Source organism: Homo sapiens, chromosome 3, assembly GCF_000001405.40.
Source record: "Homo sapiens chromosome 3, GRCh38.p14 Primary Assembly".
Lineage (NCBI taxonomy): Eukaryota > Metazoa > Chordata > Mammalia > Primates > Hominidae > Homo > Homo sapiens.
The window spans coordinates 194,591,939-194,619,704 of NC_000003.12; the positions used below are offsets into that span (position 1 = coordinate 194,591,939).

The following is a 27,766-nucleotide window of genomic DNA, read 5'->3' on the forward strand; positions in this document are numbered from 1 at the left end:
CCAGGCGTGGTGGCTCACGCCTGTAATCCCAGCACTTTGGGAGGCCGAGGCGGGTGGATCATGAGGTCAGGAGATCGAGACCATCCTGGCTAACAAGGTGAAACCCCGTCTCTACTAAAAATACAAAAAATTAGCCGGGCGCGGTGGCGGGCGCCTGTAGTCCCAGCTACTCGGGAGGCTGAGGCAGGAGAATGGCATGAACCCAGGAGGCGGAGCTTGCAGTGAGCCGAGATCGCACCACTGCAGTCCGCAGTCCGGCCTGGGCGACAGAGCGAGACTCCGTCTCAAAAAAAAAAAAAAAAAAATCATTGCTGGAAACCAGGCATGAAGAGAATCTGAGCAAAAGATCCATTTTCATATCAGAAACAATCCTGGGAGATGACAGGCACAGGTAGTTGTCACAAAACATGCCTGTCACTTGGAGGCAAGGGTGGCATGGAGACAGCAGCCAGCTGCCCAGGGTCCCAGAATGACAATGTCTGGAACTGTTTATTGCAACAGCTACTGCAGCCATGCCGGCCACTACTACTGTTGTTCCAAACCATGTTTCTTCACTGGGTTACACGTCTTCTTGGAGTCCCTATTACTTGGGCTTACCTGAATACCCCCAAAGCAGAAAGAACTCTGACCTGAGAGAGCCCTGAAAATCCCATTCATCCTCAGTCTTGCCTCTCATTTTGACTTTTTTTTTTTTGAGATGGAGTTTCACTCTTGTTGCCCAGGCTGGAGTGCAATGGTGCAATCTCGGCTCACTGCAACCTTCATCTCCCAGGTTCAAGCGATTCACTTGCCTCAGCCCCTGAGTAGCTGGGATTACAGGCATGTGACACCATGCCCGGCTAATTTTGTATCTTTAGTAGAGACAGGGTTTCACCATGTTGGCCAGGCTGGTCTTGAACTCCTGACCTCAGGTGATCGCCCACCTCGGCCTCCCAAAGTGCTAGGATTACAGGTGTGAGCCACCGCGCCTGGCCTGACATTCTTTTTTTACTGAAGGAATTTGTCATGGGTCTAGCCATCTAACAAGGTCTAACAAAAACAGGAACTGAAATCAAGCCATAGGAAGTCCCTCCTGGAAGAGAAAGAGCATGATCGTCCATACCTGCTCCGAGTTTAGGGCCTCCCAATACTTCTGCTGCAGAATAAAAAGAGAGACAGAAAAAGTGTTGGACAGATTTTGCCACCATCCCACAGCAGAGCAGAGCTCAGGACCAGCTCCTGTCTGCTCAGTGAGCCAGGAGACAGGCCCTTAGATGGTTGGGGGCAAAGGAACAGGTGACTTCAGCAAGCAGGAAGGCAGCAGCTACTAGCAGTTACAATTTAGTTAAATGATCAATGAGATAGTTATGATAATTATGAAGGGCTGCACGTCCTGGGAAAAATTACAATCTATCAAGATTTAAAAATTACTATTAGTAGAAATTATTATTATTATTAGGAGGAGTAGCAGTAATAATAATAAATCTCCCATTTATTAACCACATGGCTGAGATGATTCAACTCAAACCCATAAAACTGAGATGCCAATAAAATTCCTGCCTTGCAAATATGGGGTATTTGCTACCAGCCAAGATTCATTTGTAGTCAGTGTTTACTGCATGGTTGGTTCCACTCCAAACCTCAAATATGTCTGACTCAAGTTCTTGCAGGGCAGGCATCACGTCTGCCCTTGTTACTCCAGCACCTCCTGCAGCGCCTGGGAAACATATGTTTCTGACATGAGCTAAGAATCTATGAATATCTGTTACATTGATCTGGGAATGTCTATTAAATTAAATAGCAGGCAGTCCGAGCAGTCCACAGGATTTAGGGTTATTATCACATTAAAACAAAAGCATGTTCAACTCCTTAACATTTTTCATTAAAAAAAATCAATTAATTAATTTTTTTGAGAGAGGGGCTTGCTCTGTCGCCCAGGCTGTAGTGCAGTGGCATGGTCATAGCCCACTGCTGCCTCCATCTCCTGGGCTCAACTGATCTTCCTGCCTCAGACTCCTGAGTAGCTGGGACTACAGGTGTGTACCACCATGCCTGGCTGACATTTATTTTATTTTTTTAGTGGAGATGAGGTCTATGGTGCCCAGGCTGGTCTTGAACTCCTGAGCTCAAGCAATCCTCCCACCCTGGCCACCCAAAATGCTGGGATTACAGGCATGAGCCACAGCACCTGGCCTAATTTTCTATCTATCTATCTATCTATCTATCTATCTATCTATCTATCTATCTATATCTATCTATCTGTGTATGATGGAGTTTCACTCTTGTCACAGGCTGGAGTGTAATGGTACGATCTCGGCTCACTGCAATCTCTGCCTCCCAGGTTCAAGCAATTCTCCTGCCTCAGTCTCCTGAGTAGCTGGGATTACAGGCGCCCAGGACCATGCCCAGCTAATTTTGTATTTTTAGTAGAGATGGGGTTTCACCATGTTGGCCAGGCTGGTCTCGAACTCCTGGCCTCAAGTGATCAGCTTGCCTCAGCCTCCCAAAGTGCTAGGATTACAGGCATGAGCCACTGCTCCCAGCCAGGCGTAAATCATTTCATCCACAAATATTTCAAAATGTATCTCATAGATAAGGACTTAAAAAAAAAACCTAAGCACAATGCCATTATTATACCTAACAAAATTAGTGATAATTCCTTAGCATTCTTCATCTAACACTATCCTGCTGAGGGAACATAAACTGAAAAAAAAAAAAAGATTAATTGGAAGGGATACAAATTACTAAACTGATGGTTCCACACACTCTGGAAAAGACAGAAATGCCGATGATATAAAGGAGGGTTGAAAAAGTTAACTTAGCGAAAAAGTTTATTTAAAGCCAAGCAAACAAACAAGCAAATAAATAGGCTCGAGTCTCCCAGCTGTGCTGAAATGAAACCTTGAAACTTCCTTTACAAAGCTTAAATCTTCAGCGTTATGGGCAATCTAAAATTTAGGAAGAGCGCCCTCTAGTGGGAATAGTCAGTATTTTTAAAGTTACTTTATAAACCGCTAATGATAGTGTGCCTAAGGAGTACAATTAACCCAAATCTTTGTAACTGAGGTCTCTCCTCAACCCCCCAGCCTAAAAATAAATAAAATTATATAGTCTTTTCCCTGTTTCAAGAGCAAATGTGTTCATTATAGAACATTTTTCAAAAAACAAAGATCTACCAAAATTCTATCCTTAGAAGAAGGCCTCTACAAAGATTAAATATGCCTCTGAAACATGTATGTATTATGTATAATATAATAAAAGCAAATGGCTTTTCTCCTTTAACATACAATGAGCATTTCCACTTGCCCTTAAAATCATCTTCAGAAACATGATTCTATCACCTCCTCAAACCACTGCATACGGCATTTTAATTTGCCTCATGTCTAAAAGCACATTTTTCCTTGCTTCTGAAATCTAGAAGCATCCTATAGCCTTTGTCTATATAGCATGTAGTAATGTTTCTTTAATTCTGGAAGAGTTTAGGATGTGTCTAAGTTACTGAGGAAATAGGGTCACTTTCTAGGTTTAAATTTTAGACTGTGGAAGCTGGATGGGGCCTCAGAAACCATTTGTCCAACTCTTTACTCTTACCTTTGGGGAGAAGTGACATCTCCACAGTCTTGGGGAGGTGAGATGGTGCTCGACTTCGGATGGATTGTAAAGTTTTAAGACTGGCCAGACATACACCAGCTTCAGTTCTCATTCTCTATTTTTTTTTTTTTTTTTGAGATGGAGTCTCACTCTGTTGCCCAGGCTCGAGTACAATGGCGTGATCTCAGCTCACTGCAACCTCCGCCTCCCGGGTCCAGGTGATTCTCCTGCCTCAGCCTCCTGAGTAGCTGGGATTACAGGCGTGCGCCACCATGCCAGGCTCATTTTTTGTATTTTTAGTAGAGATGGGATTTCACCATGTTGGTCAGGCTGGTCTCAAACTCCTGACCTTGTGATCTGCCCGCCTCAGCCTCCCAAAGTGCTGGGATTACAAGCGTGAGCCACCGCACCCGGCTGATGGTCTGTATTTCTTACCTGCTATATCTGACAGCCCTCCTCAGGATCATGAAAGGCTTCCTGGAGGAAGGGGGATTTAGACAGGACAGCGAAAGGTAGGAGAAGACAGATAGGCAGAGAAACGCAGAGAAGAGAAAGCTGGCTGGGTGCATGGGGAAGGACCTGCAAAGACGGCACAGATGGGGAGGCGTTCTGGAGCTCAGGCTTAGGAGCCTGGGCTTAAAAGTGTAAGCAGCAAGGCGCCCAGAAGGCCTCAAGCAGGGAAGCATCGGGCTGGGGTCGAGTGTTGGAAAATCCTGCTGTATTCCCTGCAGGACGGAAATGAAAGGAGGCAGAGCGCGCCTGCATCGCAATCAGGAGCTCCTGCCCCAGTCCAGGAGGAAGTAACGAGGCTCTTACCTGGATTTGGGGAGGCGGATTGGAAATGCCTCTAGAGACTAAGAGTACAGAAGTTTTCCAGAGTGGTTTCTGCGCAGACAGCAGCCTGCCCTGCTATGCTACCAAGATTCATTCACACATTTTGCTGGTGGTTTACTTTTCTGTTTTCCTGATGGAAGCTTTTCTGTGTGTAAGAAGTGACTCAGTGCTGGGTGCGGCGGCTCACACCTGTAATCCCAGCCCTTTGGGAGGCTGAGGCGGGCAGATCACCTGAGATCGGGAGTTCAAGACCAGCCTGACCAACAGGGAGAAACCCCATCTCTACTAAAAATACAAAATTAGCCAGGCGTGGTGGCGCATGCCTGTAATCTCAGCTACTCGGGAGGCTGAGGCAGGAAAATCACTTGAACCCGGGAGGTGGAGGTTGCGGAGGTTGCAAGACTCCGTCTCAAAAGCCCCTATGTGCATCTGACTCCTGGGTCAAGGTTCTTTCCCCTGCACAGCCCGTTTCCCTTTGGGGCCCAGTGAAGCATCTTTCTCATGCATACTTTTTTCCCAGAACGAATGATTTGGCTTTAAAAAGGGCAGACATCCAGGGGAATATGCCCTTATCTGCTGGTGCCAGAAAGTTTGGAGAGAGAACAAGCAGTTGGGTTATCAAGAGCCTTAGGCACAGAATTAATAGGAACACACGGGCCTGGGACTTGGCCCTCTTCAGACAGAGCAATCTGGCATTTAGCACTGTTCTCATGGCCCACACAGGTACACCCACACATGGGCATGCGTGCACACACCCACATGCACACGCACACCCACACAGGACTGCACTGGCTCCAGGCACAGGCGTTCTTCACTATGCAGACTTTGTTCCAATGACAGAAACAGCCTCCTTGCAGAATTCCTATAAAGCTTATACCCCGTCTCTTGCAATGCTGGGAAGCACAGAAGGGAAAAATTGACTGGATGCTGTCTATAAATGTACTTTTGTCACAAAGGTGGACTGAACCTTTTCTTGAATCCCAGGGGCTAAAGAAAAAGAAAGAAAGAAAAGGAAGCCTTTAAAAGGTATAGGAGGCTGGGCACGGTGGCTCCCGCCTGTAATCCCAGCACCTTGGGAGGCTGAGGCAGGTGGATGACCTGAGGTCAGGAGTTCATGACCATCCTGGCCAACATGGTGAAACCCCATCTCTACTAAAAATACAAAAAATTAGCTGGGTGTGGTGGCAGGTGCCTGTAGTCCCAGCTACTTGGGAGGCTAAAGCAGGAGAATCGCTTGGACCTGGGAGGTGGAGGTTGCCCTGAGCCGAGATTGCGCCATTGCACTTAAACCTGGGTGACTCTGTCTCAAAAAAAAAAAAAAAAGAAAAAAGAAAAAAAAATAAATTCAACCTACAGGAGCAGTGAACTTCAGGCCTTCCACAGCATACGTGTTTGGTCCCGTCCCTGCTGTCACACATACCCCTGACCCATTTAGGTAAAAACAACAGTGAAATGGGATATCCTCAGCAGTTTCAATGCTGGGGGAAGTCAAGCCTGCATTTATAATATAGGTTCTGGCTGTCCCAGAAAGTGAGGGGTCACTCCCATAAGTCCTGCTCTCTCTGGGCCTCTGTCACCTACATGTAGACCCCAGGCACGGGACTCTGAGCTCAGGAATCTTTATTCAACATCTGTTCATTGTGCCCTTCGGATGGCTTTGCCAGGAGTGAGGCTGACGTTGTATTGAATGGGTGGGCTAGTAAATGAATGAATGGATGGATCCACAGTCTCCGTGGAGTATGCCGTCTGCTATGGAGTTGTACAGAAATCTGCACAGCCCAGGAAAAAGCCCTCTCTACACAGTTACTGGTCACACTGAGGCTCCCACATGACATGATTCGTCTGGTACCCTGACCAGTGCAGTCAAGTTCTCCCTCCACGCGAGCCCCACATGCCCACGGTCCTGTCTGTCTCAGCCGTCTCCTGTTCTGACACTCCTTGAGAACAGAGTCAGAGCACAGCTGGAGTGAAAAGACACCTGGGCAGAGGGTCCGTTTTCTCGTCTGTAAAATGGGAATAATGGATAATAAACATGCTCCTGCACACCTTCCCGGGTACCAGTCTCTGCCGAGGCAGTGGAGTGCAGTGGTTAATAAAGAGAGGCTTCAGAGCAGACAGAACTGGGTTCAAACCCCAGCCCTGCCACTTCTTCTTATCACCATTATTATGTTTTCTTAGGTAAGTGACTTAAACTTACCTAGTCCCAGTCTCCTGACTCAGGCTGTTAAGGCAAACGGTGCTGGGAAGCGATAGCCCACACCATGCCTAGCATAGTCACTGTTCGCAGTGAGCACCGCTTTTCTTGTTAATGGATTTCAAACACTTTATGAACTGGAGTGCTGGGGTTACCACGGCGTGTTGAGGCACCACTCAATTCTCCACTTCCCCTAGCGTACCGCAAGAAGTATTCAAAACAGTCGGTCCATGCCCCAAGAACTTGGACATAAAACCACCACCGCATCCCAGAGTTAAGGTGCCAAATCAGAAAGGACCATAGATAAGGTAAACACGTCACCTTAAAGACACAGAGTGGCTCCCAGGCCCACAGGCCCCGACAGTGGGAGTCAGAGAGCGTTCACTCATCAACCCAAGGGATCAAACGGAAGCCGAGTTGGTGAGTAACAGACAGACAACGGGAGGTGGCTGAGGGAACCGCAGCCAGCCTTGGCAGCCAGGCCAGGGGCAGTCCAAGAGCAGAGACAGACACCCTGGGTGGTCTGAGCCCAACGCCATGAAATATTTGAATTATGCAATTCTCTTGGGAGCAAAAGAAGTCACGAACCAGAGGAAGTGAGGACGTAAGGCCCTGACATCAATCTTATGCTCTGTCTCTCCAGGGTATGGTCCGGAAGAGTAAGGCGGGGGACCAGACTCTCAACTGTGACTGGTTTACCAAGTGCCTGCCACCCTATGCGGTGGGCTGGGGCCAGTCTATTGGTCCCTCACGGATGTTTCCTTCAAAATCCCACTGGCAGAAAATGTGCGCTGCATGAGTGATCCAACAGCCAGGCGAAGTGTGGTGACACTTCACCTGCTCAAAGACACCGCCTCGCCCACCTTCGGCCGCAGACGAACCAGGATCTTCAAGGAATATTGCTTCAAGCAAATAGGGGGGCATGTCAGGCCGGCCCAACCTCACCACCTGGAGGCGGCCATTGGTTGGTAGGCTTGAGGGTTAATTTCAATTTTCTTCTTCACATTTTTTACACTTCGCAAATTTTCTTTTCATTTTCTTTTTCTTTTCTTTTTTTTTTTTTTTTGAGACAGAGTCTCGTTCTATTGTCCAGGCTGGAATGCGGTGGCTTGATCTTGACTCACTGCAACCTCCGCCTCCCGGGTTCAAGTGATTCTCCTGCCTCAGCCTCCTGAGTAGCTGGGATTACAGGCACGTGCCACTGCGCCTGGCTAATTTTTGTTTCTTGGGTTATTTTTTTGAGATGCAGTTTTGCTCTTGTTGCCCAGGCTAGAGTGCAATGGCTCGATCTCGGCTCACTGCAACCTCCGCCTCCCGAGTTCAAGTGATTCTCCTATCTCAGCCTCCCGAGTAGCTGGGATTACAGGCATGCGCCACCATACCCGGCTAATTTTTGTATTTTTAGTTGAGATGGGGTTTGACCATGTTGTTCAGGCTGGTCTTGAACTCCTGACCTCAGGTAATCCACCCGCCTCAGCCTCCCAAAGTGCTGGGATTACAGGTGTGAGCCACCAAGCCCAGCCCCTTTTCCAAATTTTCTACCAAAACATTTATTTTTGTTTTGTTTTGTTTTCAGACAGGGTCTCACTCTGATGCCCAGGCTGGAGTGCAGTGGCACAATCTCAGCTCACTGCAACCTCCGCCTTCCGGGCTCAAGCAATCTTCCCACCTCAGTCTCCCAAGTAGCTGGGACTATGGGCTTGTACCACTACGCCAAGCTAATTTTTAAAATTTTTATTTTCAGTAGAGACGGGGTTTGTATTTTTAGTAGAGACAGGGTTTCACCATGTTGTCCAGGCTGGTCTTGAACTCCTGAGCTCAGGCAATCCACCTGTCTCGGCCTGTCTCTGCCTCCTAAAGTGCTGGGATTACAGGCGTGAGCCACCATGCCCAGCCCAGAAACATTTATTACTTTTAAGAACAGAAAATAGGCTGGGCAAGGTGGCTCACGCCTGTAATCCCAGCACTTTGGGAGGCTGAGGTGGGCAGGTCACGAGGTCAGGAGATCGTGACCATCTTGGCCAACATGGTGAAACCTCATCTCTACTAAAATATTAAAAAAAAATTAGCCAGGCATGGTGGTGCATGCCTATAGTCCCAGATACTCAGGAGGCTGAGGCAGGGGAATCGCTTGAACCTGGGAGGCGGAGATTGCAGTGAGCCGAGACTGCGCCACGGCACTCCAGCCTGGTGACAGAGCAAGACTCCGTCTCAAAAAGAAAAAAAAGAAGAAGAAGAAGAACAGAAAATATAGATTACCAGAAGGACCAGGGGATCACACACCTGAAAAAAGATTTCTTGCTCATTTGTTGTAAGTCTATATTCAGTCTATATTTGAAACTTTACAATCCTGTTTGACCTGCTATTATCTATGTTGAGTTTGGTATTAAGCTATCTCTTTACAGGACCTCAGCGGCTTTGTCATTTGTATTATCTGTATGTTTTAGGGCATGAAGGAGGAAGACTGTGGTGGGAGGTGGGTGAGGGTTATGCGGAGGGAGGCTGCAGCTGCTGAACTTCTAAAAATATATTCCTTTTGCATGGGCAAAAGCGTTCATTTCCACTTGCTTAATTTAAGTATGTGACCCTGTCTTCTTGGAATTTACTTGTTTGTTTTTTTTTTTTGAGGTGGAGTTTCACTCTTTCACCCAGCCTGGAGTGAAGTGGCGTGATCTCGGCTCACTGCAATCTCCGCCCCTCCGGGTTCAAACGATTCTCCTGCCCAGTAGTAGCTGGGATTACAGGCACCCGCCACCACGCCTGGCTAATTTTCTTTTTTTTTTTTGAGATGGAGTTTCGCTCTCGCTGCCCAGGCTGGAGTGCAATGGCATGATCTCTGCTTACCGAAACCTCCGCCTCCTGGGTTCAAGCAATTCTCCCGCCTCAGCCTCCCAAGTAGCTGGGATTACAGGCATGCGCCACCACGCCTGGCTAATTTTATATTTTTAGTAGAGACTGGGTTTCTCCATGTTGGTCAGGCTGGTCTCGAACTCCGATCTCAGATGATCCGCCCACCTTGGCCTCCCAAAGTACTGGGATTACAGGCGTGAGCCACCCCGCCTGGCCATGCCAGGCTAATTTTTGTATTTTTAGTAGAGACGGGGTTTCGCCACGTTCGCCAGGCTGGTCTCAAACTTCTGACCTCAGGTGATCCACCCGCCTCTGCCTCCCAAAAAGTGCTAGGATTACAGGCATGAGCCACTGTGCCTGGCCGGAATTTACATATTTTTAACAATCGATTTCTAGAAAAGAGAGAGATAAGAGTAGAGAAAGAACAAAGACTGAAAAACAAGAAAACAGCCCAAATCAGCCATAAGGACAGATTTCTGAATTTTTCAAGTTCACCGTGCAGTCCTTACCTCAACTGAGGGTGGGCGGCAAGAGTCAACCTTGTTTCCACAGAACAAATGTTGCTTCTCCCTCCCCGTCGCCATCCCTGAGTCACCAACTTCACTGTCCCTGCTCACTGAATGCACTCTGCCATCATGCTCACTCCGGTCCCCTTTAGCCTTAGATCTCCGCCAAGACTGCTGGCTCCAGGCTGCCAGCCACGTGCCTTGGGTACCCTACAAATTCTGAGACCGGATCCAAGAACCACACAACACAGAATGATACAGGAATATGAACCCAAAGGATGCAGAGTCCCTAACTCAAACCCAGCCCTCAGGGGCCAGCTGTGCTCCAGGGTGCAGGGACAGAGAGACGCAAAGGCAACCCAGGCCGCTGTGGCTCCTGGGGCACACGGCCAGCAGTGGAAGTGGTGTCAGAAAGGTATGTGCTCTAGGCTGGGTGAGGTGGCTCACGCCTGTAATCCCAGCACTTTGGGAGGCCGAGGTGGGTGGATCACCTGAGGTCAGGAGTTCAAGACCAGCCTGGCCAACATGGTGAAACCTCATCTTTACTAAAAATACAAAAATTAGCCGGGCGTGGTGGTGGGCACCTGTAATCCTAGCTGCTGGGGAGGCTGAGGCACCAGAATCTCTTGAACCCGGGAGGCGGAGGTTGCAGTGAGCTGAGATCGCGTCACTGCACTCCAGCCTGGGTGACAGAGCGAGAACTCCTTCTCAAAAAAAAAAAAGAAGGAAAGAAAGGTACGTGCTCTGGGCACTCAGAGGAAGGAGCCGCTAGCCTCTGGGTCAGATTCTGACCTGTGGCGAAAGGGCCAGAGAAGAGTCCGTGGCCAGGTAGTGCTCCCGGTGAGGGGAGGGGGTGTGTGAGGCCGGGCAGGCTGTGAAAGGCCTGGACTGCCACCCTGAGGAATCCAGACTTCATCCCAGTCAGTGGTTCTGAGTTTCAGATTTCAAGGGTCAGTTTAAGTTCAACCAATCTAGGGGACTTACAATGGCTAATTGATTATTTTGCCAAATAAGGCCAATTAAAACCCAAACCAAAAACTCAACACCAACTACTGCTTACTATTACCATTCTTTCCTAAAAGGGCATTTAACACCAAAACAGTTGGGAGGACACAAACTCATAACGGAAGACAGTCCTCTCCCCGCACCAAAAGACAGCTGGCAATTGTCTACTGACATACAAGCGGCCGCTACATTGTCCTTGTGGTTCTCATTTTTCCACAGACAGATGGAAACCTCCTCGCTGAATGGGGCTGGGAACCACAGCGGTGGGACCAAGAGAGAGAACAGCTCAGACCTGAGAGTTACGCCTGTGTGTGATCCAAGCTGTGACGTGTGTTTTATTCACAGACATAAAAGCTCAAAATGAGGTAAAGTTTATACAGGTGTCAGCCGTGGTGCCCACGACAGGGCCCACTTGTGTATGGCCCCACTAACACAGCAGGATGTAGCTGGTGCTCCTCGGGGGGAGAAAAGCTCCCATGGGCAAATCAGTTTGAGAAGCACTGAGACTTTTTTTTTTTTAGATGGAGTCTCGCTCTGTTGGCTAAGCTGGAGTGCAGTGGCATGATCTTGGCTCACTGTAATTTCCACCTCCCGGGTTCAAGTGATTCTCATGCCTCAGCCTCCCAAGTAGCTGGGATTACAGGTGCGAACCACCACGCCTGGCTAATTTTTGTGTTTTTAGTAGAGACAGGGTTTCTCCATGTTGGCCAGGCTGGTCTTGAACTCCTGATCTCAGGTGATCTGCCTGCCTTGGCCTCTCAAAGTGCTGGGATTACAGGCGTGAGCCACCACACCCAGCCAACACCAAGACTTTAAAAAATGTATTGTTCATTCATTCATCACTCAAGTGATCGGTGAAGACCGGGCCCCAATATGCAGTGTCCCTGCGACTAATGTGACCGTGGAAACCTCTTGTTGGTACTGACACACAGGGTAGGGGCCCCACGGAAGTTCATTTTTTTTTTGTTTTTTTTGAGACGGAGTCTCGTTCTGTTGCCCAGACTAAAGTGCAATGGCGCAATCTCGGCTCACTGCAACCTCTGCCTCCCAGGTTCAAGAGATTCTCCTGCCTTCGCCTCCTGGGTAGCTGGGATAACAGGTGGCCGCCACTACACCCGGCTAATTTTTGTATTTTTAGTAGAGATAAGGTTTTGCCATGTTGGCCAGGCTGGTCTCAAACTCCTGACCTCAGGTGATCCACCTGCCTCAGGCTCCCCAAGTGCTGCAATTACAGGTGTGAGCCACCGCGCCTGGCCTCATTCATTATTTAGCAGGTATGAGGTTAACGTGGATAAGATGAGAACAGCTGCACAAGCCCCAAGGAGCACCCAGCAAGTGTCGGCGAACGATGGCACCCACGCACCCGCCCAGCAGGCAACAGCCGTGTACCTCCAGGTCGGAGTTGATGGAGGAGACCTCAGAGGAGCTGCCGGAAGACACCCGGGCCCGGATGACCTGAACGGGAGGGTACGACGGGGGGTCCTGCAGGGACGCATCTCCGGCGCTCGTCTGCCCGTCACCTGGCAGCCTGGTGGCACTGCAGCCTGCCTGCAAGGTGTGTGAGAAAGGGCAGGCAAGGACACGTAGTTTAGTTTTGATGGTTGAATTGTCAAAGCATTCACATACTTCAGTGTTCAAAATGTACAAAAGGGTGTGCAGGGCAGCATCTACCTGTGCTCTCCTGCCCTGGCCATCCAGCTCTCCCCAGGGCAGCCAGTGCCCTGTGTCTTGTGTATCCCTCCAGATACTCTATACACATACAACCAAATCCACGTACACATATTTCCCCCGATTTCCAAAATGATAGCACACACTCCATTCTCTTAAGCACCTTGCTTTTTTTCACCTAACACTATGCCTTAGAGATAGTTCTGTATCAGAAGATTTGGGAGGTTTTTGGTAGCATTTCAGGTGTTCCCAGTCTATTAACCCATCCCCTACTAATGGGTGCTTAATGTGTTTCCAGTCTCTTGCTTTTGCAATCAATACTGACTGCAGTAAATTACACTGTACATCCAAGATTTCAGAGTAAAGGATAAATTCCCAGAGGCGGAATTGCTGGATTAAAGAGAGTATGTACATTTGAAATCTGTATAGCTACTGCTAAAAACGCACCCCATAGAGGCCTTCCTCATGCCCACCAGCAGGGGATGAAAGTGAGTTGGGATGAAATAGGAAGGTTTAAGGTAGAAAGAAACTTGTGAGATTTTCTATGTATCTATGTATCTATCTATGTATCTATCTATGTATGTATCTATCTATGTATCTATTTATGTATCTGTCTATCTACCAATCTATCTATCTGTCTCAGACCAAAGCTTCCCCCCATGGGCTCATGGGGACTCCTCAGAGATCTACAAAGCTCCACCAGCTGAACTTTTGAAGTCCTGCAGGATTCACATCATTCCACTGACACGTGACAGAGCAGACAACCTGCTTTCCAGACCAGCATCTTCCACTAATTAACCATGTGATCTAATGTATTAGTTTGTTTTCATGCTGCTGACAAAGACATACCCAAGACTGGGAAGAAGAAGAGGTTTAATGGACTTACAGTTCCACATGGCTGGGGAGGCCTCACAATCACGGCAGAAGGCAAAGGAGGAGCAAGTCACGTCTTACATGGATGGCAGCAGGCAAAGAGAGAGCTTGTGTAGGGGAGCTCCTCTTTATAAAACCATCAGATCTCGTGAGACTAATTCACTGTCACGAGAACAGCACGGGAAAGACTTGACCCCATAATTCAATTACCTCCCACTGGGTCCCTCCCACAACACGTGGGAATTCAAGATGAGATTTGCGTGGGGACACATCCAAACCACATCACCTAAGAAAGAAAGTTGTCCTCTCTGAGTCTCAGTTTCCTCATCTATAAAAGGGGATGATAATCCCTGCTTTGCCTCCAGTGAGGGGGTGTCATGGGGCTCAGATGTAAATGCCTGGGACACATGAGGAGAATGGCTATGAGTACTCGACCCAAATCCAGCGGGGCTTCAGCCCTTGATGGGTTAGGTGCACAAGCTCCTGTCAGAGTCAGGTGGACTGGCAGAGAAAATCCACAAGAGAAACAAAGGCAGCATTCTGGAAGCAGGAACACAGGTGAGGGGCCACCCTGCTTCCCAGCTGGGAAGGATGCTGAAACAGAAGGCTCTGGATGGGAGTGGGGAAGCAGATGCCTCCCAGGAACAACAATGACAAATTCTATAAATGCCCAAGGCCTGACCACACCTGCGTCAAAAGATAAAACAGAATTTTCAAACACTCCAAGCCGAGGATGCAGGATTTGATCCATATGGCCCCATGGGACCCCTCTGCCCCTCTGGAGGCTCAGCCTGAACCACAGTGCTGCTCCCGCTGCGTCTCCTGGAAAATCGCTCCTTAGGACCAGTGCTCAGGGGGCTTGCTGGGAAAACAAGGGAGCACCTCTGCAGCTCTCCTTACCCATTTCCAGATGGCCCTTCTAATGGGATATGTATCAGTGGACACGGCCAACAGGGTGCCTGTTTCCCCACAGTCTTGCCCATTGGGATATTCACATTACAACAGTGTTTAAAACTGCTAACCGAGCAGGTACAAAGCGGCAGCACAGAGAGCATATTCTCTTCATAAAAGCCCAGGTCCCTGAATCGGGCAGGCTTAGTTTGAATCCTCTTTCTGTGATTTTTCTAACTGTAGGATCTTGGGCAAGTTACTTAACCTCTCTGTGCCTCAATTTAAAATAACATTATTAATTGTTAATAAAATAATAATAATAGATACAGGCCAGGCACGGTGGCTCACACCTGTAATCCCAGCACTTTGGGAGGCCGAGGCAGGCGGATCACTTGAGGTCAGGAGTTTGAGAACAGCCTGGACAACATGGCGAAACCCCTTCTCTACTAAAAATACACACACACAAAATAGCCAAGCATGGTGGCATATGCCCATAGTCTCAGTTATTTGGGAGGCTGAGGCATGAGAATCGAGAATCTCTTGAACACAGGAGGTGTGGGTCACAGTGAGCCGTGATTGTGCCACTGCACTCCAGCCTGGGCGACAGAGCGAGACTCTGCCTCAAAAAAAAAAAGGAAAGAATAAAAGAAAAAATAAAAATAAAACAAAATAGAAATAATAATAGTATCTCTCTGCTATGGTTTGGATGTGGTTTGTTTGGCCCCAGCGTGTCTCATGTTGAAATGTGATCCCAGTGTTGGAAGTGGGGCCTGGTGGGAGGTGTCTGGATCCTGGTGGAAGGGCCCTTCTGGTAAGTGAGCTCTCACTTTGTTCTGCAAGAACTGCTTGTTAGAAAGAGCCTGGCACCCCTTCCTCTCTCTCCTGCCATGTGAAGCCTGCTTGCCTTTGCCTTCCCCCATGAGTGGAGGCAGCCTGAGGCCTCACCAGTGCAGATGCTGGCACCACGTAAACATGCAGAACCACGAGCCACATAAACCTCTATTCTTTCTAAATTACCCAGCCTCAGGTGTTCCTTTATGGCAATGCAAAACACACTAGGATCCTTCCTCATACAGTTGTTGGGCTCATTTTTATTAACACTTACATGGTAAACAGTATTATTTTATTAATAATAAATCGCCATTTATCAAGTGTTTACTTGGTGTCATTATGCCAAGTACAAGGCTGTACAGCATAGAGGTCAATGGCACAAACTCGGGTAGAGACAGGTCTGAATCCGGTTCTATCACTGACAAACTGTGTGACCTTGAGCAGGTCACTTAACTGCTCCAGCCCCCAGTTTCCTTATCTGTAAAATGAGTATAATACTCAGGAGTCGGCTGTGGGGCAAGTTAATGTGTGTAAAGCACTTAGACCAGTACTCTGGCCCATAAGTACCACGTAAGTGTTGGCTGCTGTTGTTTACTCAGAGCCTGGCAAGTCCCTAACCCTCAGTAGACAGGCTATGATGGGAGGGGTGCCCCTAGTGCTGAGGGAGGCACCTGCCAGCCCAGCTGGACAGTGGGGCTCGGGGCTCCCTCTAGCCCTCTGATGGACACAGAAGGAAAAAGCTGGGTGGAAGCTCAAAGACGCACTTGTGGGCTTCAGTGGGAGGGAATGAAGGTGGAACACACTCTTCTTTCATGGAGTCTGTTCCCCAACAAGAATCCCTTCGACACTGAGCTACTGGAAGGGTTAAAGTGAATACAACTTTTACACATTCTCCTTCAGAAGTCCCATGATGTAGAACTTCCCAGTGCAAAGCTTTGGCCAGATGCTGCAGGAACTCCCGTGCCTTCCCAAGGGTTCCCCACACACCCTGCCTCCTCCCTCCCTTCGGAAGGATGGTTTAATGGCTGAAGTGGGCTCTTAGCTACAAAGGCATGCTCTGAATCTCTCTGAACTTCACTTAGGTCATACACAAGGTTCTGTGCACCCAGTATACAAGGAGCAACAACAGCAAACAGCAAAACCTCTCTCTCAGCCGAGTCTCTCCGGGCACCGGTGTGTCTGGGCAGCCTGGCAGGGGCCCTCACCACTGGACCATATATTCAAAACACACCTTTACTGAGAGCCCAGGACTGCAAGGTTATAGGCACCAGGAGTCAACGAGACAGGAGATAAAGTTTACATCTCAGCAGGACACAGACAAACCAAAGTAAAAGATCGTGATAAGTGCTTTGCAGAGAATTTCAATAGGTAATAAAATAGAGGAGAAGGACAGACGGGTCCTGCTTCGGACTGGGTGGTTAGGGAAGAGCTCTGGAGAAGCAGACATTTACGTTGAAGCTGGAAAGACAAGAAAGAGGCAGCTGTGAAAAATCAGGAGGGAGAGCATTCTGGGCAGAGGAATGGAGAGAAACTCTGTGCAGCTAGACAGGAGTGAACAGGAGACGAGAGATGGGGTCTCGCTATGTGGTCCAGGCTGGTCTCGAACTCCTGGCCTCAAGCGATACTCCTACCTCAGGTTCCCAAAGTATTAGGATTACAGGTGTGGGCCACCAAGAGCTCTGGCCCAGAGGAGTGTTTTAAACAAAGGAGGAACAAGATGTCATTTACATTTGTGAATGATCCCTCTGGCTGCTCGTTAGAGATGGGCAGGGCAGGACCACAGAAGAAGTGGAGAGGATGACAGCCAGGAGGCTGCTGGACTCAAGACCTAGTTTAAATAAGGAAGCATTTACAGGACTCTCAAAAGGAATGGATGGGCATGGGGGTGTGGCCAGGGAAAGAGGAATTTTGGGCTTGAACCACTGCAAAGACAGTGCGTCATTTACTAAGATGAGGAAGATGGGGAGAGGAGCCGGTCTGGGCATGGAAATCCAGAATTCTGTGTTGGACGAGGTAAGCGTGAGATGCCATATGGTGACAGCTGAATGGGCAGCTGGGCAGCCGAGATGGGAACTGAGGGGAGGGGAAAGGACGGAGACACGAATGGGGGAAGTCAGCAAGAACTGGTGTGCAGAGCGAGGGGACTGTGGGACTGCAGGGCCCACCAGGAGCAGGGAGCCTGCCTGGGACAGGGCGTTGGACTCCCTCTCTACAGTCAAGCTTACCCAGAGGAGCCAGCAGAGGCCGAGGGGAAAGAAGAGCCTGTGAGGGTGGCAGGAAACACAGAAGAGTGGGGGCCACAGACGCCAGGAGCAGCTGGTGGCCGAGTGCGTGGACTCTCAGAATGGAATGATGGTGGACTTAGCAGCTTGGAGGTCATCGGTGACCTCGACAAGACAGTCTTGGTGGAATAGTGGGACATGGGGTGAACTTCTCGTCACCTCTTTCCCAATTCTCTTCCTCCTGAGGACCCCTCGTGTAGGCCAGAACTCAGGGAGTCACCCGGAGCCCTGCCTCCCTCACCCGCACCTCCTCACCCCTCCAGCGCTCCACTTCCCAACTCGCTCAACTCTGTCTCTGCTTCTCCGTCTGCTCCAACCTCAGTTTAGGCCACACTTCCTTTTCCTCGGGCTTCCAACTGGCCCTGACTGACTGCTCGGCTGCTACTCTCCTCTCCCCCAGGCCACCCGCAACAACTTCCCCAGATGGCTCTAAAATGCACATCTGACCCTGAGTCTCCAGTACTCAAGCCTCCTGACTCCCATCACTCTCAAGATGATAGACACGGCCGGACGCAGTGGCTCACACCTGTAGTCCCAGCACTTTGGGAGGCCGAGGCCAGCAGATCACGAGGTCAAGAGATCGAGACCAGCCTGGCTAACATGGTGAAACCCCGTCTCTAGTAAAAATACAAAAATTAGCTGGGCGTGGTGGCAGGCTCCTGTAGTCTCAGTTTCTCTGGAGGCTGAGGTAGGAGAATCACTTGAACCCGGGGGGCTGCAGTGAGCTGAGATCATGCCACTGTACTCCAGCCTGGGCGACAGAGTGTCTCAAAAAAAAAAAAGAGAGAAAAAGATGATAGACTCCGTGTCTAAACGACCCGACCCCTGCCTCCTCCAGCCCTTTCATCTCCCCTCACTCCTAAATGGTACCAGCATATACCACCCCGAAATATGCCTCTTTAGCATATGGATTCCTTAGATCTAAAGGTCTTTGAAAACCAGCAGAAGCAGAAGCTATTAACCTCCCCTAACTGCCTGAAAAGAGAGTACACATTTTCCCTTTCATAAAGGAAATTTCCATTTGTAAAGATATTTCTGCACCAGGAAGAGAGCTACTTCCACCCGAGAGACTCTCACCTGCATAGCAAGAAAACCCTTATTTCCCACACAGGTCCTCCCTCACCTTGCCTCCCACCCCAGAACCCCAAACCTCTTTTTCTTGATTTAGCCTAATATGGTATATACGCCTCCATCAACTGGCCACCTCCTTGAGCCACATTTTTCTTTGTACATTTAAAGCTGTTTTTTCTTGTTACTCTGTGTTTCATCAGAGGGGACAGGGAAAATATTTTTCTCTCCAACACTCCCCCATATCTGCCCCTCCACTGCAGCCTTGGACAGCTCCTTCTTTTTTACCTGCTTCTCTTGTTTTCTCCTGCTCATCCCTCAGCTAAAGCATCACCTCCTCCAGGAAGCCTTCCATGACTGCTTCCCATCCTCTCAGACACCTGGCCATGACCGATGGCCACTCACCTGCTGCACAGGCTCGATGGTCAGCTCCATGTAGCGACTGATTGCTGTCATTGTCCTCAGTGACTTGCAGTGTGACAGTGTGGTGAGAGGCACCCAATCCAAATTCTTGCAAGTAGAGGCAGGGAGACAGAAAGGGGAATTCTCAAAGTCAGGAGGCATTTTCTAAAAACAAGGTCACATTTTATTCAAAAGGACCCCCGTGGTATTTTCTCTCTCTCTTTTTTAACGGCACGTCTCACTTTCTGCTTCCTATAAGATGTGTCTTATCTTTCTCTTCGAGGCCACAGTCATTTAGTGTTTCCCAAATTTTGCAACACAGTAGAATCAGCTAGGAATCTTTTTTATTTTATTTTATTTTTTGTAGAGACCAGTTTCACTGTACTGACCAGGTTGGTCTCAAAGTCCTGGGCTCAAGTGATCCACGAGTGATCCTCCCACCTCGGCCTCCCAAAGTGCTGGGATGACAGGCGTGAGCCACCACACCCGGCCTATTCTGCTTTTTAAGATCCCCAGCTGAGCAGCGATCTGGAGTGAAGCTGTGATCCAGGCACTGCATTCCAGCCTAGGGGACAGAGTGAGACCCTGTCGTACAAACAAAACAAAACAAGGAATGCCTACTTCCCACTTCCAGACATTCTGATTTCATGGGTATGAGATGTAACCGGGAAGTGGATCGTTTAAACGCGCCCCAGATGATTCTAACGTGCGGCCAAGTTTGCGAACCACTGCAATAGGTGCCCAATAAGTGCTTTTGCAAAGCTGTGGTTCTCTAACCTTGATGCACATCAGAAGCACCCTGTGGGTTTTGCTAAAATACAGATTGCAGCCGGGCGCGGTGGCTCACGCCTGTAATCCCAGCACTTTGGGAGGCCGAGGCAGGCCGATCACCTGAGGTTAGGAGTGCGAGACCAGCCTGGTCAACATAGTGAAACCCTGTCTCTACTAAAAATACAAAAATTGGCTGGGCAAGGTGGCGTGTGTCTGTAATCCTAGCTACGTGGGAGGCGGAGGCAGGAGAATCGCTTGAACCCAGGAGGCGGAGGTTGCAGCAAGCTGAGATCGTGCCACTGCAATCCAGCCTGGACAACAGTGAGACTCCGTCTCAAAAATAAATAAATAAATAAATAAATAAATAAATAAATAAAATACAGATTGCTGGACCACACCCTCAGTTTCAGATTCGGGAGATCTGGGTGGAGCCCCCAAATCTGCATTTCTCACAGTTTCCCAGGTAATCCTGGTCTAGGGCCCACACTTTGAGAACCACTGCTCTGAAGAACTGCTAGAGACTCCAGAGGCTTCTACTTCTCTCTTCAGAATTCCAAGACACACAGGGCTCTGTTAATATTTTGGCCCCCTTTTGGAATATAATTTCCTAACAGTTGCTAGAAAGAAATGAAAATAACTTCCCACTAGGGCCTCATGGGAACGTGGCTCTTTGGTCTGGGCACCTATATAAAAAATGCTTTCCTCTGCGTCACATACACCACGATCTTCTATTTCACGGACTCAGTCGGATCACATGGTTAAGCCATTTGGAGAACATTCGGAGGGGCAGTTTTTGTTTTTGTCGGTCCAAATGCACTCCCCATCACTTCCTCCATCCTGGCCACGGAGGAAGTTACTCACAGCCTCACACCCACTCTCTGTGAGAGGAGTCTAAGGTAGTGAAGAGCCCAGGTAATAGATGAGAGTTTTTTCCAAAAAAAAAAAAAAATTGAAATCTTAGAAAAGAGGGAGCCATTTTATATTCAAGTCCTTTTTTTTGAGACGGAGTCTCGCTCTGTCGCCCAGGCTGGAGTGCAGTGGCGGGATCTCGACTCACTGCAAGCTCCGCCTTCTGGGTTCACGCCATTCTCCTGCCTCAGCCTCCCGAGTAGCTGGGACTACAGGCACCCGCCACCGCGCCCAGCTAATTTTTTGTATTTTTAGTAGAGACGGGGTTTCACTGTGGTCTCGATCTCCTGACCTCGTGATCCGCCCGCCTCTGCCTCCCAAAGTGCTGGGACTACAGGCCTGAACCACTGCACCCAGCCTATATTCAAGTCCTTACAAGCTTTCTTTGAGTTACTTTCTCAATTATTTGGAACCAAAAACTTTTGATGAAGACAAATGGCCTCAATTAGAGTAAGTTCTGACTACTTGTAGAGGTCATCTGTTTAAATCAATAAAAGGAGACGCATTAACTTTAGCCGGTGGCATGACATAATTGTAAAGGTTTGATATTGCTGTAAACAACACTTATTTTTTATTTTTATTTATTTATTTATTTATTTTCTTGAGACAGATTTTCACTTTATTGCCCAGGCTGGAGTACAGTGGCACGATCCCGGCTCACTGCAACCTCCGCCTCCTGGGTTCAAGTGATTCTCATGTCTCAGCCTCCTGAGTAGCTGGGATTACAGGTGCCCGCCACCACGCCCAGCTGATTTTTGTATTTTTAGTAGAGACGGAGTTTCACCACGTTGCCCAGGCTGGTCTCGAACTCTTGAGCTCAGGCAATCTGCCCATCTCGGCCTCCCAAAGTGCTGGCATTACAGGCATGAGGCACCATGCCTGGCTTAATGAACACTTTAAAAAAAAAGTTTTTTTTCGAGACGGAGTTTTGCTCTTGTTGCCTAGGCTGGAGTGCAATGGTGCGATTTTGGCTTACTGCAACCTCCGCCTCCCAGGTTCAAGCGATTCTCCTGCCTCAGCCTCCTGAGTAGCTGGAATTACAGGCGCGTGCCACCACACCCAGCTAATTTTTGTATTTTTAGTAGAGACAGGAGTTTCACCACGTTGGTCAGGCTGGTCTCGAACTCCTGACCTCATGATGCACCCACCTCGGCCTCCCAAAGTGTTGGGATTACAGGCGTGAGCCACTGCACATGACCTCCTAAACAACACTTAAAGATCAGATTTCTAGCATAAAAAAACAGAATAGGCCGGGCCCGGTGGCTCACACCTGTAATCCCAGCACTTTGGGAAGCCGAGGTGGGCGGATCATCTGAGGTTGGGAGTTTGAGACCAGCCTGACCAACATGGAGAAACCCAGTCTCTACTAAAAATACAAAATTAGCCGGGCATGGTGGTGCATGCCTGTAATCCCAGCTACTTGGGAGGCTGAGGCAGGAGAATCGCTTGAACCCGGGAGGCGGAGGTTGTGGTGAGCCGAGATCGTGCCACGGCACTCCAGCCTCGGCAACAAGAGCAAAACTCCGTCTCCAAAAAACAAAATAAAACAAAACAAAACAAAAAACCAAAAAAACCACAAGGAATAGAGTAAGTAGTTACATTGCAGTGACCACAAACAGCAAATGGGTCCTCGTGGCTTGAGAGGACTTTCTAGAGGCAGCATCACAAGCCGATTTCCAAAGGCTGGATCATGTAGCTGGGCATGACGACAGGCTCTGGAGCACCGTGTTAGGTGGTGGTAATGATGTGGATATTAAAGATGCATGTGAAAGTGGGAATACAGTTTTTGAAGAAATATGAGTGAAAATCACATAATTTACTTATGTTTTTGAGATGGGGTCTCACTCTGCAGCTCAGGTTGTAGTGCGGTGGCGCCATCTTGGCTCACTGCAACCTCTGCCTCCAGGATCAAGAGATCCTCCTGCCTCAGCCTCCTAAGTAGCTGGGACTACAGGCACACACCACCATACCCGGCCAATTTTTTTTGTATTTTTGGTAGAGACGGGGTTTCACCCTGTTGCCCAGGCTAGTCTTGAGCTCCTGAGCTCAAGCAATCTGCCTGCCTTGGCCACCCAAAGTGCTGGGATTACAGGCATGAGCCACTGCACCCGGCCAAAAATCACATTATTTAAAAATGAATATATTAAGGTATGTAGCATGTGAACTTAACTACCAGTAAGTAAATTATTCAAAAGCTTCAAGTGGGCATGCGACTATTCCATCTACATTGCTAAAAATATAAGCCATTAAGTGACCAAAAAACTTCAAAACATTTGTATAATTGCGAAACCGGAGGATCCTATGGCATTCAGGCTTCCCTTAGCTTTGAACATAGACAGTAGCTTTTTAAAGTGACCAACTGGGCTACGCACCACGGCTTATGCCTGTAATCCCAGCACTTTGGGAGGCCAAGGTGGGCAGATCACCTGAGGTCAGGAGTTCGAGACCAGCCTGGCCAACATGGTGAAACCCCATCTGTCTCTACTAAAAATACAAAATATTAGCCGGGCGTGGTGACATGTGCCTGTAATCCCAGCTACTTGGGTGGCTGAGGCAGGAGAATTACTTGAATCTGGGAGGCGGAGGTTGCAGTGAGCTGAGATTGTGCTACTGCACTCCAGCCTGGGCAACAGAGCAAGACTCCATCTCAATCAATCAATAGATTAAAAAAAAATAAAAATAAAGCGACCAACTGGGCAAGCAGGGAGGGACTTCTGGAATTCCCAAGCCCCGGCCCTCATGGAGGCTCAATGCCCCGTCCACTCCATGCCAGTAAACAGGAAGGGCCCGTTACATGTCATGTGTTAGGTTTGGCCACTATTCCCTCAGCGAGACAGGACAGCTGTCTGAGTCGCCTGCAGAGAACACTCGGCAGGCAGCTTTCACACGTCCGTCCGCAGTATCCTGCTGTTTCTCAAGATACTGTTGCTGGGACCAGAGTTTTCCAGCCAGAGAGACCTTGTCCTCGTTCCTCACCTCCTGGTTTTCTTCCTCTTTCTCTGCACAGGTCAAAAGGGCTTGGGTGTCAGGGCTCTCTCTGGCTTCCTTGGCAAATCCTAAGGCCTGTCTCATCTTGCTCTTCATCACACACGAAAGGAAAATAATCTGAGATGGTGTAAGTTAAGGTAGGAAGCAGAATATTCCAGCTGCCTAGCGTGGCCCTTCACCCCTCCACACCATGCTGCCACCCCCCTCCCCACTCACCTACTCTCCTCCCTCCCCTGTATTATCCTGCCTGGGACAGAGAGGAGCTCATCTGAAGACAGGGCTAGGGTGGATGTTCCTGTCCTCACGAGGGCCCAGCATCCAATGTGACCCTGTCCCTAACAAGGACATGGTAAATATTTGCAAAACTAAAGCATTTTGGAAAACGTCTTTCTTGACAGGCCTGGCTTACAGTGACAATACATGCAGTGGGTTGAATAGTGTCCCTCAAAATTCAGATCCACCTCTGAATGTGACCCCCTTTTTTTTTTTGAGACAGAGTCTCGCTCTGTCACCCAGGCTGGAGTGCGGTGGTATGATCTTAGCTCACTGCAACCCCTGCCTCCCTGGTTCAAGCGATTCTCTCGCCTCAGCCTCCCAAGTAGCTGGGATTACGGGCACCTGCCATCATGCTCGGGTAATTTTCGTATTTTTAGTAGAGACCGGGTTTCACCATGTTGGCCAGGCTGGTCTCAAACTCCTGATCTCAGATGATCCTCCCATCTTGGCCTCCCAAAGTGCTGGGATTACAGTCGTGAGCCACCGTGCCCGGCCCAGACTGTGACCTTATTCGGAAGTAGGGTCCTTGCTGATACAATTAGACAATGAAGTCATAGTGGATTGGACTGGGCCCTAACTCCAACAGCTGGGGTCCCTATAAGAAAAGGAGACACACGAAGATACACAAAGGGAAGAAGGCCACATGAAGGGCAAGGCAGAAATGTAAACGACACTGCCATGCATCAAGGGACACCAGGAGCCACTAGCAGCTCCTGCAGCTCCACTGGCAGCTGGAAGAGGCAAGCGAAGATTCCCCTCTTAGCGCCTGCAGACGGCGTGGCCCTGCCTTGCCTTCACACACACCCCACCACCAACACGCCACAGCCATTAACCACAGTCAGCATCTAAAAATACAAACATTTTTAGTCTCCACTAAAAATAACAAAAATTAGCCAGACGTGTTGGCATGCACCTGTAGTCCCAGCTACTCGGGAGGCTGAGGCAGGAGAATTGCTTGAAATTGGGAGGTGAAGGTTGCAGTGAGCCAAGATCACGCCACTGCACTCCAGCCTGGGCAACACAGCGAGACTCCATCTCAAAACAAACAAACAAAAAAAGGAAACATAAAACTACAAATAATTGCATTTGTGTTTGCCTGCCCCAAGCTTCAAACCACTCCCTTACTGCTGGGAGAGTTCCATCTAGCAAGAGAAAAGAAGGGTGGGGCAGGGGCAGTGAGAGGACGAGACACAGGCCTCCTCTGGCTGCAAGCAGGGAGCTCCCCAGGCCTGGGGTGGATACAGCGAGGTCCAGTGCCGCACGGCCGAGGGAGGTCAGGAACCAGGGTGTGGCCCGCAGCAGGTACTCAGGGTGCTGGTCGTGGGCCACAATGGCCGAGGCATAGAGGAGGCCAGCCAGGGCCGACAGGAGCCGGGTCCACAGGTGGATGGAGGGAAATGTCTTCCCCCGGCACTGGGCAGAGAGAGGGAGGGGCTGGGCGGGAGAAGCAGCAGATCACAAGACCCAGGGCCCTCAGTGGCACAGCAGGTTGCGGGGCAAGCCCTCTGCCTGCAGCCAGTCCTCCAGGGCAATGCTTCTGTTAGACTTACAGCTTTTGCTCGAGTTGCTTCTTCTGCCTGTCAAACTCCTACTCATCCCTCAGAACCTGGCTTCAACTTAACTCTGGGAAACCTCCCCTTACCAACTCCACCCTAAGGCGAGCAAGCAACTCCCTTTTCTGGGCCCTAACGCATCCCTCCAGCGGAGTACCTTTGATTGATCATGACTCAGCTCTTTACACAGTCAGAGAGCTCCTGAGGGCTGGGCAGGGGTCCTCACCATCTCAGTGCCCAGCACCTGACGCTGGGCAGCGGCTCGCCAATGTCCGCTGGGAGAACGTGAGGGAGACTGGGATGGTTTGGACATTTGTCCCCGCCAGATCTCATGTTGAGTCGTAATCCCCAGTGTCGGAGGTGGGGCCTGGTGGGAGGTGGTTGGGTCATGGGGTGGATATCTCATGAATGGTCTGGCACCATACCCTGGGTGCTGTCCTCACGACAGTGAGTGAGTTCTCCTGAGATCTGGCTGTTCAAAAATGTGTGTGTGGCACCTTCCCTTCCACCCTCTTGCACTCTCTCTCTCTCTGCCTGCTCACACTTTGCCTTCCGCCATGAGTAAAAGGTCCCTGAGGCCTCCCCAGAAGCCCAGCAGATGCTGGCGTCATGCTTGGGAGCCTGCCAAACCGTGAGCCAATTACACCTGGTTTCCTTATGAGTGACCCGGCCTGAGGCATTCCTTTAGAGCAATGCAAGAACAGCCTAACACAGAGACCGGATCAGAAGAGCTGAGGCCCGGCCCTTCTCTCCCTGGGACCCCGATTCTGACCCAGGTCACATGGGGAAGATCCGAAAAATGAGAGATGATATTCTGGAAATTTTAAAGCCAAGAGGACATTTCTGGAGAATATGTAATAAAACTATTGGTTCAATAAAAGGAAATATGCACTATTTATATTTCTATGTAAGCAGCCTTTATATACAGAAAGTCACTATATATATGAATATGTATATACACAAACACCATATATTTCTGATTACATACTTATATATTTAAATATATATGAATAAAAATTGTAAATAGTTTATATTAAACTCATTAGATGAGTTATATATAAACTAAATTATAATTCATTAGATGAGTTCATATATATACAAATTATATTTATATAATTTAGTTTTATATAAATTAAATTATATATAGTTAAGTTTATATATAATTTAGTTTATATATATAATTCAGTTTATATATAATACATATAAAATTTAGTTTATATACATAATACACATATAAACTCATTAGATGACTCATTAAATATGTTCATTTCATGACCATATTTACAGATATATAGGCCTTGGCTAGGGAATGGGAAAAATTCAGGAGAAAAAGCATGTTTTGGCCAATTTTGCCCCATTTTAAGTTTAATTCTCAAAAAGAATCCTTAAGAGTGTCACATTTCCCTCTGCGTCCCCTCCAGTTTTGTCTCCAGGCCTCCCTGTGTCTGGCCTGCGCCCTGAAGACTGCTTAACCGAGAGACAGCACAGTCCCACGCTTCTCCGTGGAGCAGCCGGCTGGGAGGGTGAGCCCTGGCCCGCTGGGCCCAGAGGCTGAGGGTGGAGACGACGCCCTTTCCCATCGGCCCTTCCTATCTCACACAGGAAGCAGCACTGCTATGGCTAGAGGTGCTTGGGGCCCCCCGACCTAACCACCCACCACCATGTTACAGAGGACACTGACGGCCAGAGTGGGGCTGGGCCTGGGCCTCCTGCCTCTTGGCCTTGCTCTTGCTGCTGCTCAGGATGAACTGCACGGGGAAGCCCTCTGTCCTCGCTCACATGCTAACCCAGTGACAGCGCCCACTGTCCTCCAAATCAGTCCCTTCTCAGGGTCAGTCCTGGGGCCGACCCTGAAAAAAATAGAGAGCTCTATTTATCTGCAGTGCCAGACAAACAGTAGATGCTTAATCACGGCTTGAAGAACGGAACTGGATTGTGACTGGATGAGACATGGCAGTCCCTCTCCAACCTAGGCAGGCCTTGCCTACAGACAGGATGGAGGTCGGCAGCACGCCCCAGCCTGGGCTGCCTGGCACATCCATGTAAGGGGCTGGAGGCAGGACAGGCCTCGGATGGTCTCTGCAGCTGCCAGGACTCCTGGTGTCAGCACAACGCTTCACTCATCAGTGGGTGTTTCGTACCCCTGTCCCATTCGAGGACTCACTCCTGGAGCAATGGGAACTTTCCCACCAAAGCCACCCAGCCATCTTCTCCTCAGCAACCTCACCATGGCCAAATTAGGAGCAGCTTCTGGGAGAGCCAGGGTCTGAAGCCATGCTGGCCTGGCTTCCCAGA

General features: G+C 49.1%; 1 protein-coding gene and 1 long non-coding RNA gene across 6 annotated transcripts in view, besides 2 other annotated features; one reads left to right on the forward strand and one right to left on the reverse strand.

Annotated features, from left to right (window-relative positions):
• TMEM44 (transmembrane protein 44) overlaps positions 1 to 27,766 on the reverse strand; it is a 45,742-nt gene that overhangs the window by 4,261 nt on the left and 13,715 nt on the right. The window contains exons 6-10 of one of the 4 annotated variants that reach the window (NM_138399.5): positions 25,161 to 25,331; positions 23,631 to 23,759; positions 18,978 to 19,082; positions 12,349 to 12,507; positions 1,103 to 1,132 (exon numbers count right to left, since the gene is read on the reverse strand). In NM_138399.5, the coding sequence (NP_612408.3) occupies positions 1,103 to 1,132; positions 12,349 to 12,507; positions 18,978 to 19,082; positions 23,631 to 23,759; positions 25,161 to 25,331 (594 nt within the window). Of the gene's footprint in view, positions 1 to 1,102; positions 1,133 to 12,348; positions 12,508 to 18,977; positions 19,083 to 23,630; positions 23,760 to 25,160; positions 25,332 to 25,697; positions 25,839 to 27,766 lie in introns of all 4 variants that reach the window. The other 3 variants (NM_001166305.2, NM_001166306.2, NM_001011655.3) reach the window with 3 other exon arrangements.
• Positions 8,698 to 15,061, forward strand: LOC105374291 (uncharacterized). 2 transcript variants are annotated; one of them, XR_007096222.1, is made up of 4 exons: positions 8,698 to 8,909; positions 10,107 to 10,369; positions 11,179 to 11,324; positions 12,231 to 15,061. It is a non-coding gene; the product is annotated as an uncharacterized LOC105374291 (long non-coding RNA). The 2 variants fall into 2 exon arrangements; XR_001741083.2 differs by lacking the exon at positions 8,698 to 8,909 and having other exon boundaries at positions 9,979 to 10,369.
• Positions 25,622 to 25,916: an enhancer, noted in NCBI's record as "tiled region #9326; HepG2 Activating non-DNase unmatched - State 23:Low". NCBI's record gives its function as "activates a minimal TATA promoter and a strong SV40 promoter by Sharpr-MPRA in HepG2 cells {active_cell/tissue: HepG2}" and the evidence as "EXISTENCE:reporter gene assay evidence [ECO:0000049][PMID:27701403]".
• Positions 27,216 to 27,716: an enhancer, noted in NCBI's record as "H3K4me1 hESC enhancer chr3:194339883-194340383 (GRCh37/hg19 assembly coordinates)". NCBI's record gives its function as "activates a minimal SCP1, AML or CMV promoter by ChIP-STARR-seq in primed H9 embryonic stem cells {active_cell/tissue: H9 hESC(primed)}" and the evidence as "EXISTENCE:reporter gene assay evidence [ECO:0000049][PMID:30033119]".